This window comes from Homo sapiens, chromosome Y (genome assembly GCF_000001405.40).
Source record: "Homo sapiens chromosome Y, GRCh38.p14 Primary Assembly".
NCBI lineage: Eukaryota > Metazoa > Chordata > Mammalia > Primates > Hominidae > Homo > Homo sapiens.
In genome coordinates, this window is record NC_000024.10 from 23,310,735 (window position 1) to 23,329,492 (window position 18,758).

Genomic DNA, 18,758 nt, shown 5'->3' on the forward strand with positions numbered 1-18,758 from the left:
ACCTCCCATTCTCTGTTCAGCTCTGTCCAATTAATTCAGCAAGCATTTGTTTGTCATCTACTACACTAGACATTGTTCTAGACAGAAATATCGGGAAACAAAGCATACAAAAATGTTTGCCCTTGTAGTGCTTTATGTTCTAGTGAAGGAGAAAGATGATAAGGAGAATAAAGAGTGACACATATGCAAGCTTCCTGGAGGTCAAGTAGCCCAGTTTTTGGCAGAGGGAATAGCCAGTGGGAAGAAGGCAGGCAGGGCAAATATTTACAACCCTCGTTTTACAGAAGAGAACATTGGAACTTAGGGAGGTTTAAGGGATGGCTGAGGGTCAGAACGTGGTCAGCACCAGAAGCAAGGCCTTTCAATTGCAAGGTCAGGGTTCCTTCCACACTGGGACAAGAGGCAGCACCTGCAAGATAAGGTAGAGGTGAATGAACCTAGGTGGCTTTAGTTAGATTCTGCAGACTTTTATGACAGGCCAATGCATATAAATGATAATAGCTGACATCACATTAAGAAAAAGATGCAGCATCTCATGAGATCTACTACATGCTCCTGATTAGGAAAAGGAATGTTGAAAAATAGCACTGAGTTTATAAAAATAGCGTTTAGGGTGTAATTCTCATTTTTTTAGTACATGAATGCTTAAGAAAGATGTTCATCAAATGTTAGCAATGCTTATTACTTGATGGTAGGATTTCAAAGAGTTTTAAATTTTCTTCTTTATTCTTTTCTGAATTGTTTGAGTTTTTTGCAATGAGAGTGTGAAAACAGAAGAAATAAAAAAGTTTGATGTTAGAAAGATACCATTAAGCTAACATTTACACACTCTGTGCTGTTCCACAGCACCTGTAGTACCACTATTTCTTTGTAAATTCTTCCAGGGCAGAGACTGTGTTTTATTCATTCTTCTTTGCCCAGCATGTGGAACCTCCTACAAAACAAGCATTCAACAGGGTTTGTGGAACAAATGCAAAGTGCATTTGCGAACTGCAGCTTATATAATCTACAATAGACACCTAGGGGGGCTCAGGAATGACACGAACAGTTTCCAGCCGAAGGGAATTTCATTTTCTTTTCTAGTTGGAGTTTCCATGGCACCCAGAAGACCAGGGATCCTGGTAAGAAAGTTTTAAAACGCTGAAGTGGTAAGTTTGTAAATTTGTGATACCTGGTGTCAAGTCCTACTTCAGGAATCTACAAAAATTGGGCCTTTTGAATAGAAGTGTTTTAGTGAATAATGAGTGATGTGGCAACTTATTCTGATAATATTTCAATCTAGCTTTTTGCTTTTAATGGTAGTTGCCATTTCTATTGGGCTGCATCATTCCCAGGAAAGCCTTCTTTTAAAATCAGTACAGGATGTGTGCATCCTAATACAAAAATCCCAAATCCAGAAATGCCCCTGAATCTGAAAGTTTTTCAGTGCTAATATGAGATAGTGAAACCTTTGCTTTCAGATGGTTCAGTGTACAAAAACATTGTTTCATAGACAAAATTATTTAAGGTGTTGTATAAAATTACTTTCAGACTATGTGCCTAAGGTATATATGAAACATAAATGAATTCCATGTTTAGATTTGGGTCTCACTCCCAGATATCTCATTATATATATGCAAATATTCCAAAATCAAAATCAAAAACAAACAAACAAAAAAACCGCCAAATCCGAAACACTTCTGGTTTCAAGCATTTTGGAGAAGGGATTTTCAGCCTCTCCCTAGAGATTAATTTGTTTGATGTGGTCAATTGCCTGATTATTCAAACTCCTCAAAAAGTGCAGGTCTTTCCTCCATACCACCTGTTTAGGTTTTGAATAGTTTAGAAAAAAAAATAAGTGACTGTCTTTAAGTCATTGATTAAAAGTTAATAGCCTTAAAATGTTTCCATTCCTATTTTATTACAAAGTATTGCTCGAAACAAGTTTTAATAGTGAGAAGGAAAGTTGTCACCCATAGGTTTAGGCACAATTTTTCAGTCTCCTTTACTCACTTAGCATTAGACTAGAAACACTTTCCCAATGATTTTTTGAATACTTGTGTAGCATTTGAACTTGTAGATGACCACACTGTACAAAACCATTGCAGAATTAGCATACATTCATATTAGTGTTAGTTTTTTAGTGATTTTTAATTGAACAGGGAAATTTTACATATTTGGCTCTATTCTGTAACTACAAGCAAAATTCTAACTGACTTTTCCCTCTTTCAGATTCTTAATTATTAAACTCATCTGACCATTTTTATTTTTATTTATTTAATTGACAAAGAGCGTATATACTCAAGGTGTACAATGCAATTATTTGATATGCCTAAATTAGGTTGGTGCAATTAGTTTGCACCAACCTAATACATTGTATAATTACTACAATCAAATTAATTAATACATACATTATCACCCATGCTATACATTAGATTCTCAGAAATTGCTCATCTTATAACTGAAAGTTTGTCCCCTTTGGTCAAAATCTACCCATTTCCCCCACCGCCATTCCCTGGCAACTGCCATGGTACTCTATGTTTTGATGAGTTCAACTCTCTTATATTCTGCATATAATACACTGTTGACCCTTGAACAGCGTGGAGTTTGAGCACTGACCCCTGCATAGTCGGAAATCAGCATATAACTTTTTCTTAAGGCATGGGGTCTCACTATGTTTCCCAGACTGGGCCTTGAATTACCTTGGCCTTAAAACTTGATTCTCCAAAAGCTTAACTACTAATAGCCTACTATTGACCAATAGCCTTACCAATAACGTAAACACTTGATTAACATGTATTTTGTATATGTATTATATACTGTATTTGTACGCTAAAGTAAACTATAGAAAAGATGGTGTTATTAAGAAAATCATAAGGAAAAGAAAATATATTTACTATTCCTTAAGTCAAAGCGGAGAGGTCTTCATACTCCTTGTGTTCCTATTGGGTAGACTGAGGAAGAGAAGGAAGAGGAGGATTGGTCTTGCTGTCTCAGATGTGACAGAAACAGAAGAAAATTCACATATAAGTGGACCTGTACCATTCAAACTCATGATGTTCTATTAGTCTATGTGTTTGTTTTTATGCCAGTACCATACTCTTTAGATTAACATAGCTTTGTAACATAGTTTGAAATCAGGAAATGTGATGCCTCCAGCTTCGCTCTTCTTTCTCAAGATTGCTTTGGTCAGGTTTTTTTGTGGTTCCATATGAATCTTAGAATTATTTTTTCTCTATCTGTGAAGAATGCTGCCATTGGAATTTTGATAGAGTTTGCAATGAACCTATAGATCACCTTGGGTAGTATGGATATTTTAATAATATTAATTCTGATACATGAACATGTGATGTCTTTCTTTTTATTTGTGTCATCTTCAATTTATTTTCTCAGTGTTTTATATGCTGATATTTAAACTTCTTGGTTAAATGTATTCCTAAGTAATTTTATTGTGCTTGTTGCTATTGTAAGTAGGATTGTTTTCTTTCTTTCTTTTTCAGATAATTTGTTGGTGCTGTATAGAAGTGCAATTCATTGTTCAATTCCCACCAGTGATTGAGAACGTGCGGTGTTTGGTTTTTTGTCCTTGCGATAGTTTGCTGAGAATGATGGTTTCCAGCTTCATCCATGTCTCTACAAAGGACATGAACTCATCATTTTTTATGGCAGCATAGTATTCCATGGTGTATATGTGCCACATTTTCTTAATCCAGTCTATCATTGTTGGAGTTAATGGGTGCAGCACACCAACATGGCACATGTATACATATGTAACAAACCTGCACGTTGTGCACATGTACCCTAAAACTTAAAGTATAATAATAATAATAATAATAATAATAATAATAATAATAATGAAAGAATTGCAATTCAATTTTAATGTTGATTTTGGTATTCTGGAACTTTACTGAATTCTCTTTTTAGGTCTAACAGTTTTTTGGTGGAGTTTCTGTATACAAGGTCATGTCATCTACGGAGACAATTTTGCTTCTTCCTTTCTGATTTGGATATTTTTTATTTCTTTTTCTTGCCTAACTGCTCTAGGTAGCACTTGTGGTACTATGCACAATAGAAGTGGTGAGTGTGGGCACCCTTGTTCCTGATCATAGAAGAAAAGCTTTCTGCTTTTTACCATTGGGTATGATGTTGGCTGTGGGCTTGTCCAATATGGCATTTATTCTGTTGAGGAACATTCCTTGCATACCTAATTTGGTGAGAGTTTTAACAGCATTTTGAAGTATAAGTGACATAAAATAAACAGCATATGTATCTAGTGTACAATTTGATAAGTTTTGACATACGTATATACCCATGAAGCCGATCAATATAGTGAACATAAACATCATCCCAAAAGGTATCCTTGTGCTCCTTTGTAATCTCTCCTTCCTGTCTCTCTCCATGTACCCTCTTCTCAGGCAACCACTGATCTCCTTTCTGTCATACAGATTGGTTTTAATTGTCTAGAGGCATATACCAATGTAATAATACAATAAGTAGTTTATTTTGGTGTGGCTTCTTTTATTCAGCATAATTACTTTAACATTCATTCATATTGTTGTATGTATCCATAGACTTTTTTTTTTTTTTTTTTTTTTTTTTGCTGAATAGTATTTCATTGTATGAATACACCAACATTTCTTTATCTAGTTACCTGTTATGGACATTTGGGTTGTTTTCAGTGTGAGACTTTTACAAATAAAGCTGCTATAAACATTTATATATGAGTCACTTTATGATACGCTTTTAGTTCTCTTGGATATACAAGTGCTGGATCACATAGCAGGAATACGTCTGACTTTTTAAGAAACTGCAGGTTTTCCATTTTTCGTTTCCAACAGTATATCAGTTCTAATTCCTCCACCTCCTTGACAACATTTGGTATTGTCAATCTTTTTAAATTTAGCTATTGTGGTAGGCATATAATGCTTTTAACTTGTATTTTCCTAACTACTAATGATTTTGAACATCTTTTCATATGCTTATTTCCCATCCCTGTATCTTCTTTGTGGAAGTATCTGTTCAAGTATTTTGCCCATTGTTTTATTGTTTTTCTAACTCGATTTTGAGAGTACTTTATACATTCTGGATGAAGGTTGTTATCAGACATATTCTGTGCAAATATTTTCTCCCAGTCTGGCTTGTTTTCTCATTCTCTTAGTAGCATCATCTGAAGAACAGAAGTTTTGAATTTTGATGAAATCCAGTTTATCAGTTTGTTCTTTTATGGATCATGCTTTTGGTGTTACAGCTAAGAAATCTTTGCCCAGTGCAAAGTCACAAAGATTTTCTTTTAGAAATGTTATCGTTTTTGGTTTCTAACTTAGGCCTGTGACCCATTTTTCAGTTCATTTCTAGGTATAGTGTGAAGTATGGATTTTGCATATGGTAACCAATTATTCTAGCACCATTTGTTGAAAAGACTGTCCTTTCTCCACTTAATTACATTTGCACATTTGTAAACACAAACACACAGACAGACAGACAGACACACACACACACACACACACACACACACACACACACACACACCCCATATATATTTAGGTCTCTTTCTGGGCTCTCTATATTTTTTAATGATATCCCTTGTCTATTGTGATGTCAATACCCACTATTTTGGTTACTGTAGCTTAGTAATAAGTCTTGACGTGAGACAGTGTTAATCCGCCTAGTTCTTCTTTTCCCAAATTGTTTTGTCTAGTATGGTTCCTTTTCATTTCCACATTAATCTTAGAGTCAGCTTGTCAATTTCTATAAAATGTCTGCTAGGGTTTTGATTGTGATTCCATTGAATCCATAATTTGGAGATAATTGGCATATTAATAATAATGAGTCTTTTAATCCATAAACATGGTCTATCTCTCCATTTATATAGGTCCTTAATTTCTTTTGGCAATGTATTATAGTTTATAGTGTACACATCTTTCACATTTTATGTCAGATTTATCCCTATGTATTTCATATTTTTATGTTATTCAAAGTATTTTTAAAATTTCAACTTGTGATTGTTCTTTGCTAGTCTGTAGAAATACAGTTGATTTTTTATTGATATTTTATCCTAAAACCTTAGCTAAAATCAATTATTACTTCTAACTTTTTTGTGTTTCTATTAGATTTTCTAGATAGATAGTCATGTTGGCTATATATAAAGACAGTTTTATTTCTTCCATTCTGGATGCATTTTTTTCATGTCTGATTATATGTTCCAGTATCTCCAGCACAAGGTTGAATACAAGTGGTGAGAGCAGACATCCTTGTCTTAGTCCTGATCACAGAGGAAATGCATTCAGTCTTTTATCATGAAGTAAGTTTTTAGCTATAGATTTTTCATAGATGCTGTATTATTCAGGAGTCTCCAGAGGAACAGAACTAATAGGAGAGATGTGTATATGAAAGGGAATTTATTAAGGAGTATTGACTCACATGATCACAAGGTGAAATCCCATGATAGGCCGTCTACAAGCTGACGAGCAAGAAAGCCCAGTCCAAGCCCCAAAACCTCAAAAATAGGGAAGCCAACAGTGCCGCCTTCAGTCTGTGGCCGAAGGCCTGAGAGCCCTTAGCAAACCACTGGCATCAAGCCTGAGACTCCAAAAGCTGAAAAACATGCACTCCGATGTTTGAGGGCAGGAAGCATCCAGCACAGGAGAAAGATGAAAGCCGGAAGGCTCAGCAAGTCTAGTTCTTCCATGTTCTTCTGCCTGCTTTATTCTAGCTGTGCTGGCAGCTGATTAGATTGTGGCCACCCAGAATGAGGGTGGGTCTGCCTCTCCCAGTCTACTGACTCAAATGTTAATCTCCTTTGGCAACACCCTCACAGACACACCCAGGAACACTACTTCGCATCCTTCAAGCTAGTCAAGTTAATACTCAGTATTAACCATCACAGATGCCCTTTATCAGTTTGAGGAAATGCTTTTCTATGCTTAGTTTGCTGAAAGTTTTTATTTAATAATACATGTTAGATTTTTGTTACCTGCTTTTTCTGTGTCTTTTGAGATGATCATGTGATTTATCTCTTTGCTAACATGGAGAATTGTACTGATTTATTTTCAGTGTAAAATCATCCTGAATTCCTAGGAAGTAAAATCCCAATTTATCATGATATTGTATTCTTTTTATAGATTTTGAATTCAGCTTGCTAAAATTTTAATTTTTTTCTTCTATATTCATGAAGAATCTTGGCCTATAGTTTGCTTTTTTGTTAACATCTTAGTAAGGTTTTTGTGCCATGGTAATTCTGGTCTCTTACAAATATTCCCTGCCTCATAAGTTCTCTGGGATAGTTTGTATAGAATTGGTATTATTTCTTCATTAAATGTTTGGCAGAATTCACTGGCAAAGCTATCTGGGTCTCAAATCTCCTTTGTGGGAAGATTTCTAACTACAAATTGAAAATTTTTACATTTATTTTTATTTGTACATTTATTTATTTTCTGAGATGGAGTGTCTCTCTGTCACCTAGGCTGGAGCCCAGTGGTGCGATCTCAGCTCACTGCAACCTCTGTCTCCTGGGTTCAAGCAATTCTTCTGCCCCAGTCTCCCTTGCAGCTGGGATTACAGGTGTGTGCCACCATGCCCAGCTAATTTGTTTGAATTTTTAATAGAGACAGGGTTTTGCCATGTTAGTCAGGCTGGTCTTGAACTTCTGACCTCAGATGATCCACCTGTCTCAGCCTCCCAGTGTGTTGGGATTACAGGCGTGAGCCACCGTGCACACCCTATATTGATTTTTTTTTTTAAATATAAGGCTATTATCTGTTTCTTTGTGACTGAGCTTTGATATTTTATATGTTTTAGGACATTTGTTAATTTCATTTCCATTGTAAAATTTATGGGCATAAAATTTTACAAGTGATATTCCCTTTTTATACTTTTTAATATCTTAGAAACCACTGATACCCATTCTCTCATTCCTAATGTGAAAAATTTTGATCTCTCCTTTTTCCTAATCAATCTATCTTGAGATTTATCCATTTTCTTTTGCTTTGTTTTTTTTTTTTTTTCCTCTCTGAGATGGAGATTCAGTCTTGTTGCCCAGGCTGCAGTGCAATGGGTTGATCTCGGCTCAATGGGGCAACCTCCGCCTCCTGGGTTCAGGCAATTCTCCTGCGTCAACATCCTGAGTAGTTGGGATTACAGGTGTGCACCACCAAGCCCAGCTAATTTTTGCATTTTTCAGTAGAGATGGTGTCTCACCATATTGGTCAGGCTCATTTAGAACTCCTGACCTCAGGTGATCCACCTGCCCTGGCCTTCCAAAGTGTTGGGATTTCAGGCATGAGCCAGTGTGCCCAACTCCATTTTATTTTTCTTGTCAAGAAACCAACTTTGTTTTTGTTGATTTTCTCTATTTTTGTCTTCTATTTTATTGATTTCTCTTTTGATCTTTATTATTTCCTACTGTCTGCTTCCTTTGAGTTTAATGTGCACTCTTGTTTTTATTATTTATTTCTTGTGATGGATCCTGAGGTCATTGCCTTGAATCATTTTTTTTTTTTTTTGTAAAATAGGTATTTGGTGTTATACAGTTCCATTAGTATTAGTATTAGATGCCAAACATTAGTGGCATCCTACAAATTCTTATATACTGTATTTTCATTTTCACTCACCTCAGAATATTTTGTAATTTCCCTTTTGATTTCTTCTTTGAACTGTGAGTTATTTAGAAGCATGTTATTTAGTTTCTAGATATTTGGGTATTTTTCAGTTATCCCTCTTCTATTGATTTCTAATTTAATTTCACTGTGGTCAAAGAACATATTTGTATGACTTGAATCTTTTTACGTATATTGAGAATGGTTTTATGGCTCAGAATGTAGTTGGTCTTTGTAAATGGCCCATGTGTACTTGAAAATAATATATATTCTGCTGCCATTGGATGGAGTGTTGTAAAAATGTCAATTAGGAGTTGTTTGATAGTATTGTTCAAATCTGTTATATCCTTGCTGATTTTCTGTCCACTTGTTCTATTAATTATCGAGAAAGGATTATTGAAATTCCCAGCTACAATTATGGATGTGTTTATTTCTCCTTACAATCTATTAGTTTTTGCCTCATGTATTTGAAGCACTGTTATGAAGTACCTAAACCCTTAGGATTGTCACATTTTCATTAACTGACCAATTTGTCATGCTGAAATGACTCTCTGCCTACGGTAACATTTTTCACTCTAAGATTTACTTCTTTTAGTATATTAATATAGCCTCTGTCGAGGGCTCAGCTGGAGAGAGAGCTGAGCTGCCAGGTTTTAACGTGGTCAGTTAAGAAAACGGCCAAACTTAAAAAGAAAAAAAAAAAAGAAACCATCAAGACTTTATTCACTTATGCAACAGTATAAGCAAGAAGCAAAAAAGGAAGAAGTGCCAGCTCCCAGAATGTTCCATGTTTTCCCCCATGGAGCAGCTCAGAGGAGGGGAGTTTGGGGTATGGGGATGATCATCTCCCTGCTTAGCGAGACGGACTGCCGAACATGAGCCTCCTGCTATTTCGCTGTTGCTGGGAATTTATGGACCCTGTGGTGAAGGGTGGGAGTTTGGGGAAGGCTAGGAGTGGAAGATACTTAATACTGAGGACCGCGGAGGCGGAGGTTGTTGCAGTGAGCCGAGATCGCGCCACTGCACTCCATCCTAAGCGACAGCATGAGACTCAGTCTCAAAAAAAAAAAAAAAAAAAAAAAAAAGAAGAAGAAGAGGAGGAGGAGGAGGGAGGGGGAGGAGGAGGAGGAGGAGAATGAGAAGAAAAGAAAAAAGAAGAAGAAGAAGAGGAAGAAGGGGAAGAAGAAGAGAAGGAAGCAGAAGAGGAAGAAGAAGAAGGAGAAGAGGAAGAAGAAGAAGAAGCAGAAGAAGAAGAAGAGGAGGAAGAAGAAGAAGAAGAGAGAAAAGCATGTTTTTCAGGTTACCCTCAAGAAGTTGGTGTCTAGTAGAGGCAGCCAAGAAAGACCTCTGCCAGGACCCTCCTGATCCGGGGACCTCTGCATGGACGTATCTGGGCTGGGAATGCAGGTATGTGTAAGAACATAAGTGCGGGGGGACGTGAGTCTTTGATACAACTCCCCTAGGGGACTGTGTGCTCTGGTTCTGGTTGTGCACCGAGGCCGGTGGGGAGGACCCATGGAACAAACTTGTGGTAAGGCCTTTGTAGTGGCTGAAAACTCACACACAGAGTTGGGTTTTGGCTCTCAGAAAACTGCTCAGCCACTCCAGCTTCCTCTTGGCCAGTGTCAGCAATGGCATACCCTTGTCAAAACTTAGACTATTTGGCCAGGCCCCGTGGCTCATGCCTGTAATGCCGGTACTTTGGGAGGCTGGGGCAGGTGGATCCTGAGCGCAGGAGTTTGAGAACAGCCTGGCCTCAAGAAAAGAAAATTTTTTTTCACTTTTAACCCATTTGTGTCTTTATATTTTAAAGTGCATCTCTTGCAGGCAGCACAAAGTTGTCTTGCATTTTTATCCAATCTGACAGTCTGCCTTTTAATGGGGCTAATTGGACTATTTTTATTTAAACTTTTTATCTGTAATGGCTAACTTTCACTCTATCACATTGGCATTTGTTTCTTATTTGTTCCACCTGTTCTTTGTTCCTTTTTTCCTCCCTCTCTGTCTTATTTTAGATTAATTGGATTAATTTAGATTAACTGGATTGATTTGAATTAGTTGAGTATTTTTATGATCCATTTTTATCTCCTTTATAGACTTATTAGCTTTAACTCTTTGTTTTATTATTTTAGTGGTAGCATACATCTTTTCTTATCACGATATATTTTGAGGGATACTATACCTCTTCATATGTGGTATGATATCCTCAAATGGGTATACTTCTATTTCTCCCCCCACCAGCCTTTATGTTATTGTTTTTGTCTTCCAATTTATATAAGTCATAACCCCTATAATACATGGTTATTATTTATGTTTAAATAGCCAATTATCTCTTATTTGGTAATTTTTATTGTGATAAAATATACATAACATAAAATTTACCATTTTAACTGTTATCAGTGGTGAATCCACACAAGACTGCAGCAACCTCAATTCTTACCTCCTTCAGAAGAAAGAATTCAACCAAAGGGAATAAGGCAGAGGGAGAAACTGAGGCAAGCTTAAGGGAAGGAGTGAAAGTTTATTAAGAAGTTTTAGAGCAAGAATGAAAGGAAGTGAAGTACACTTGGAAGAGGGGCAAGCGGGTGACTTGAGAGATCAAGTGCAAGGTTTGACCGTTGACTTGGGTTTTTATGCTTCTGGGGTGATTGTGCCCTTCTCCCCTGATCCTTCCCTTGGGGTGGCCTGCCAGCACTTAGGAGGGGCCACGTGTGCAGTGTGTTTACTAAAGTTGTATTCAGGCCGCCTTGAAACATTTTTCCCTTACCGGTTGAGTATTCCCTAAGGAAGGTGAGGTACCAGTTAATTCCACCATTTTGCCTCTTAGTGTGCATGCTTGAGTTCACTCACCCAACTCCTGCCATCTAATCAGGAAGCTGCTGATCATCAGTTTCAGGTGTTTTCTATCTATTGGGAGACTGCGTTTCCCTGGCGCTGGCTGCAACCAATTATTATTTTAGAGACAGTTTAACAACCACCTCACTATCACCTTATGGTCGCCTGACATTCCTGGTGAAGAGGGCCCTCTCCTTCCCTGCTCATGTCTGCCTAACTACCTATGGTAACAAAAGCTTTTTTTTTTTTTTTTTTTTTGAGGCAAGGTCTTGCTCTGTCACCCCAGGTGTCGTGCAGTGGGGCAATCATGGTTCACTGCAACCTCAACCTCCAGGGCTCAATTGATCCTCCCACCTTAGCCTCCTGAGTAGCCAGGACTACGGGTGTGTGCCACCACACCTGGCTAATTTCTGTATTTTTTGTAGAGACAGGATTTGCCTTGTTGCTTAGGCTGGTCTTGAATTCCTGGGGTCAAGCTATCTGTTGGTCTCTGCCTCCCAAAGTGTTGGGATTATAGGTGTGAACCACTGTGCCTAGACCCCCAAATTATCTTTTTTTCAGAGACAGTGTGATAGTTCTCAAACTATCACCTAACATTCCTGGTAGGAGAGGAAAGATCTCTCTCTTGCCCCAGTCATGCCTGTCTAACTACGTGTAACTAGTTAGCTCAGCTTACTGTTATAATTTTTCTCACTGATAGAATTTTTGCAAAGACACTTTCAATACTACCAAAATAAATAGTAATCAACCACTTGGAAAGCATTTAGAAGTAACTGAAGTCCCTACTTACACCAAATGAGGAAAAGCCAAACTACACTGTGGGACACACTGTAAGTCCCTGCATCAGTCAGCTGTTGCTGTGCAAACACCTCCTCAAGACTCGGCAGGATAAAGCAATGACCATTTATAATTGCTCACATGTCTGCAGGTCAGCTGCTTTTTGGCTGACCGAGGCAGGGCTTAGCTAGGCTGGCTCTGCAGCGTGTGTCTCTCATTCTCCTCCTGTGGCAAACAATGGCAGATGACAATGGCAAATGTGGAAAGCCTTTAAAGAAGAAATCTCATAAGGAGTTCCCTGTCACTCCCATTCATCTCAGTCTTTCAGCCAAAGCAAGTGATATGGCCAAACCCCATATCAAGGGGTGGGGAAATATAATTTGCTTATTTATTAGGAGCAAAGTCACATGGTGGTCATTGCAGAATGGGTTGAATGACATAACCTATCATCAGCCCTGAAGAAACTCATCATTCATTTCCTTCCTCAAGACTCCCCTCATCCGGGCATCTCCAGATCTTACTCTTTCCCACACTCTGTATCAAACAGTCCACTCACACTAGCTACCCTGCTTCCTTTGGCACCCTCTTTCCACTAGATAACCTGTTCACTCAGCATTTCTATTTTCATTTGCATCTCCACCCTTTGCCCATTACCCCAGCAGCTCACAGAGGACCCTGACAGAATAGGCAAAACCCAGAAGTTGGGTGGGTAGATAATGTGTGAAAGCTCACACGGTTCTGACGCCTCCTTGACGCAGCACATTACTAGCGAATGACATGTATAGGGCCTGGGGTGTTTGCAGAACCAAATCAGGTGTGGAGGAAATTATATGTAAATACCTCCATGGGTGTGTGATTGTATCATACCTCACCATAACAAAGCTCAAATGACATTTCATTTCCAAATGTGGCTAGGTTTCCCTGTGTTATATGTCGTTGAAAGCCAGTATAAATAAATATCTGTGAAAGTCCTAGCTGACTGCCTGCTTTGTTTCTGCCACTAAACTGTAAGCTCCTCATGAACAGAGTGTTTCTGTACAATTCACTAGCTGTCTCTATCTTTACCTCACAGCCAATCCACAAATGAACGCTGTCAGCCTTGCCCCCCATCATATCCCAACCATCCATGTCTGGCTACTCCATTGCTAGTCCAACCGAAGCCCCTTGCATCTCATGCCTGGGTTATTTCACAGCCTTCTAGGCTGGTAACTCCCGCTGCTACTGTGCCTGGCTCCAGTCTATTCTGTACATGGTGAAGAGGATCCTTTGAAAAATGGATAAAATGAGTAGCAAATTGTGTTTCTCCTGCACTCAGAATCCTCCTCTGGCTCCTCACTGTAACCTCTGGCTTCAGTAGTTACGGCAAATATTTAAAAGTCAGCCTGCAGGAAGAACCCTGATTTACTGAGTTTTCCAATGTTAGTAGTATAAATACTCATCATGGCCAATTTTAAGCTGGCTTCTTTCCTTCACTCCGTCCCTCCCTCCTCCCCTTCTCCCCTCCTTCTCTTCTCCCCTCTTTCCTTCATTTCCTCCCTCCCTCCCTCATTTCTTCTGTCCTTCTCTCCTTCCCTTCCTTTCCTTCTCACGTCCTTCTTTCCTTTCTTCCCTCCTCCCGTCCTTTCTTCCCTATTCTCTGCCTCCTACTCTAGAATTGACATTTCATGACAGGCAATCCATGTCTGTCTTAGTTATTGCTTAGAAGTACCTGGCACATAATGGAAGGCTCAGTACATATTTCTTGAACAAATAGTTGACTAATTGAATAGATGATCCTTTCTTAATTCTGTACCAGGATTTAAGAATTATTCAAAGAAGATGTCATTGTTTTAAAATGACCAAGTACTGCTCAGCACTTTCAAGTTCACAAAGCATGCCTCATGCATCATCTCTATGATCTGTACCCGGGTGCCATCCTGAGAAGCTGGGAAAGGCTTTTCTCTTCCTCCTCACTTTACAAATGAGGAAACAAAGACTCAGAGGGATGGAGGTTCCCGCTCAAGGCCAAACAGTAAGTATGTATCCACAAGTCTGACTCTCAGTCTGGCAGTCTTCTCAGTGGTCTCCAGGAACTGTTTAGCTCTTGGGGGGATCTCATAAGGGAAGCCTGGAGGCTTCAGGGAGAGCTGTCCCAAGGAAGAGGAGAGAAACACATGGTGGCGAGGAAGGAGGATTGACGACCAGGGAAGGCCTTACGTAGGCCTCTACCAGGCTGAGCCTCTGGTGTCAGGCCAGTAACATAGTAATTCAGGTCCCCAATCCTGATTCTGTCTCTAGATTCCCACTAACCTCCCCACAGACATGGAGCATTGAGCCCCCCTTCCCCACTTATAGAGTACCCCAGATAGCATAGGCTCCACACCTAGCACCCACCTTCTTGCAAGTCTATAGCAATGAGCAGCAGAGCGCCAGCTGAGATCCACAAGCTGAACCTGGTCCCCAGGGATAATTTCTTTAGCCCCTGTAGTGTTTAAAAAATTGGGCCAGCATTTACAAGCAGGATATCCCAAGTGGTTGGTTGATTTTGGTAAACAGAAAGATCTTGCCACACATCCTGGCCATTCTGGGCTGACAGCAGTCATCCACCTGAGACCAGATAAGTGTTGTCCTGTTCAATGCAGCCACTCAAACCAGTTCAATGCAGTCCAGTTCAATGCAGTTTCCTATCACCTCTCCAACTTCCAGGGCAGCCATTGACTGCAGTTTATTTCCATGCTGGAAGTTTTACTTGTGTCAAAAAACATACCTCTGAAACCGAAACTTATACCAAAAGAAGAAAAAATATGTAGGGCTTCATGATTTTACTACATGGACTGACAGAACCCTGAGTTTACGAGCTTTGGGCTATGCCTCAGTTTAAAATACATGCCTGCCTTCCTTCCTTCCTTCCTTCCTTCCTTCCTTCCTTCCTTCCTTCCTTCCTTCCTTCCTTCCTTCCTTCCTTCTTTCCTTCCTTCTTCCCTTCTCTTCCTTCCTCCCTCCATCCCTCCCTTCCTTCCTTTGTTCCCTCCTTCCTTCCTTCCTTCTTTCCTTCCTTTCTCTCCTTCCTTCCTCCTTCTCTCTTCTCTTTTTTCTTTTCTTCCGTGAAAGAGTCTCTCTGTTACCCAGGTATGGTGTATAATACATGCTAACACCACCACACCCAGCTAATTTTTTAATTTCTATTTTGAAGAAATGAGATCTTGCCATCTTGCCCAGGCTGGTCTCTAACTCCTGGCCTCAAGTGATCCTCCTGCTTCAGCCTCCTAAAGCATTGGGATTGCAGGCATGAGCCACCTAGCCCAGTTAAGTACACCTTTTCCTAGTTCTGTCAACAATCTCACAAAGCTGGCATCCAGAACCCTCCTTTAGGTGAGGATCCTTGAGTTAAGAGGCGTTGAGGGACTTGGCCAAGGTTAAATAACTAGAAGTAGACACAGAATGTGAAGATAACATCTCATCCAGCGCAGGCATCCCCATAAATTGCATTCCCACCCACACACCACCAGTGTGTTCATTGTGACAGGATGTGTGACCTGACACAACAGCCCTTGTGTAATCTGACACATTCCCATTAGGTAGCGACATAAACCAACAAAGCTTTCCAGGACAATGCCTTTGTGGAAATTGGTTTTCTTGCATTACTAGGGATTTTAAGGCACAACAGGTTTTCCCCTCTTTCTGTCTCTCAAAAAAAAAAAAAAAAAAAAAAAGTCCTTTCAATACCCAATATTGCATGGCTTTCATGCCAGGCATAAAATGAAATTTGCCATAATCCATTGCCTAGGGAGAAAGTCGTATGTGTGTGTCACAACTGACATCTGTTAAATTAAATAAGCAAGCAATAAGAAGGTCTGAAATATGTTCTTTGTTCAGGAATTCGTGCAGACACTGATCAGCTGCTCTGTACAATTGAGAAGAGAACAAGTGCCTTTTCTTCCCCCAACATGTGCCACTGAAAGCCTCCAAGGAGGACAAAAGCAGAGGATGGATGAACTTGCACACCGTGAAGTTAACACTTCTGTTTGAAGTTCAAGCAAATTGGCTGAGCACAGCAGGAATGACCACATTGCCAGCTCCATCATACCTGCTCCCTCCCCAGGGCTGAACAGGAGCTCAGGCTAGTCCTTCCTTACCTGCTACTTCTTTTGCAAAGTGTAGGAAGGTGTGAGGCTTCATCCAGACTGCCTGATCAGTTTTGACCATCAGCATGTTATTATGGTGGATCTATTCTTAAAATACAGTTGTTCTTTTGTTTTCCTCACTGGCAAGGAATTTTGAACCAATAGCTCCAGAGTTAGCCCTTGTAATTTATTAATCAAGCTTCATTATTAATATGAGAATGAGAACAGATGTAATTCCAATGTGCAGCTGGAATATCAGCCAAGATGTGGTCCTTATAGAGATATACTAGGATCATCAAACGAGAAAGAGAAGCTTTGCCTATGCAACCAATTATAATTGTGGGATGGTGTATTTTGGGTATTGGAATTTTTTTGATAAACATGAGGATAGGCAGAAAGCCCTTCAGTTTCAATCCTTTGTTTTGTCCTTTCCCTCATCCCTAGAAATAGGTTATGTATCTATGACAATAACAGTGAGTGCCTCCCAAAAAACCACACACGTTTTCAAACCTCCCCTGCAGTTGAATTGAACCATGTGGATGGGTTCTGATAAATGGGAAAATATTTACTTATATTTTCTTTGAGTTCTATTGCGGTTTTATTTTTGTGTTTAATCCACGTGGAATTTATTTTAGTATATTAGTTTCAAGGCAGTTGTTCCCGGACTATTTAATTAATCTTTCCTTTTCCTACCGATTGCAAATACCAATCAGTATATGACAAATTCTGATTTCTGGTTCGGTAATCAATTTTCTCATTCCTATGTTGGTATCAAATTCCTAAATTATAGTAATTTTAAAATATATCTTACTATCTAGTAAGAGCTATCCCCTTTAATTTTTTAAATGGGGTCTCACTGTGTTGTCCAGGCTGGTCTTAAACTTCTGGGCTCAAGCAACCTTTCTATCTCAGCTCAGGCTCCAGAGTAGCTGGGACTACAGGCTCATACCACCACACCTGGCTCCTTTAAAAAAATTAATTCAGTTGCTTTTACAAATGTATTCTTTGAGTAGAATTTAAAAATCAGTTTGCTAAGTTAAAAAATTAAAGATTGATTAAATTCACAGGGTGACTGGGAAATAATTGATATCTTGTCAGGCCTGAGCCTGCTCATTCACGTGTGTGATGTTTCCCTTCATTTCATGTCTTCTTCCGTGTCCTTAGGCCGTTTTGTATTTCTTCTGTGTTTGATTCTGAGTATTCTGTGATTTTGGTTGCTTTTGTAAATGGGATATTTTTCTCATTTCCCATCATTTTTTCTAATTTATTATGGCTGAATGTTATTCGACTGTATGTATATATCACAATTTATTTATCCATTCATCCATCAATGGACATGTGGTTTGCTTCCACCTTTTGGCTGCTGTGCTGCTATCAACATGTGTATGCATGTACTTGCATCCCTGTTTTCAATTCTTTTGGGTACAGACGCCTGGGAGTGGAATTGCAGGGTCCTGTGATAATTCTGTGTTGAGTCATCTGAGGAACCACCAACTGTTTCCTGCAGTGGCTGAACCATATTACATTCCCACCAGCAATATACAAATTCCAGTTTCTCCACATCCTCACCAATACTTGCTGTTTTCTGTTTTCTTTTTAAAAAGTCATTACCATCCTAATGGGTGTACAGTGGTGCCTCCTTTTTATTTGCATTTCCCTAATGATGAATGATGCTGAGAATGTTTTCATGTGTTTGTGGGCCATGGCCTCTCTTCTTTGGAGAAATATCCACTCAAGTCCTTTTTCCACTGTTTAAGGGATGGTTTGTGTTTTTGTTGTTAGTTTCCTAACTTTCTGACAGGAAAACATTAACCGAAAGTTGCTGTGTTACATAGGATACTTTCAAAAGCAACAACTAGAAGATGCAACTCAAAATGGCTTAAATGATGAAAGAATGTTAAATGTTTGAGTGATCAGGTATGGTTCTAGCACTGTCCACGTATTAATTCATTTAATTCTAACAAGAATACTACAGGGTAGGTACACAAATCAGAAATATGAGGCACAGAGAAGTCCAAAGTCACACAGCTGGTAAGTGGTAAAGTTGGAATTTGAACCTAGGAAGTCTGACTCCATAGTCTCATCTGTGAGTGACCAGGTAATAAGTCTACAGGGAGGCAGTACTGGCACTGATTGGTTTAGCACATCAACCTAATACGGAGTCTAGATTTGTCAATGTTCCTATTCTGTTACCCTAAGCATGTTGCCTTTGCCTCAGGGTCCTCCCCTCATGGTTGCAAAATGGCCGCAACAGCTCCAAGCATCACATTATCTCCCAGCAACATCCAAATGACAGAAACAGAAAGTCTCTTTGGTTTCTTCTTTTTTAAAAGTAAGGAAAACTCTTCTAGAAGTACCTCTAGCAGACTTCTCATTGATCAGAATTGTGGCACATGCCCCATCGTAAACCAATCACTAACAAGGGACACAGAACTACAATTTTGGACACAGACTAATCAAGGTTGACACC

At 39.1% G+C, this 18,758-nt stretch overlaps 1 long non-coding RNA gene across 2 annotated transcripts; it reads left to right on the forward strand.

The window, feature by feature from the left end:
- The first annotated feature begins 242 nt into the window (after positions 1-242).
- LOC105377239 (uncharacterized) lies at positions 243-3,580 on the forward strand. 2 transcript variants are annotated; one of them, XR_938665.3, is made up of 3 exons: positions 243-421; positions 1,084-1,148; positions 3,480-3,580. It is a non-coding gene; the product is annotated as an uncharacterized LOC105377239 (long non-coding RNA). The 2 variants fall into 2 exon arrangements; XR_938666.3 differs by having other exon boundaries at positions 1,084-1,121.
- Positions 3,581-18,758: the final 15,178 nt, after the last annotated feature.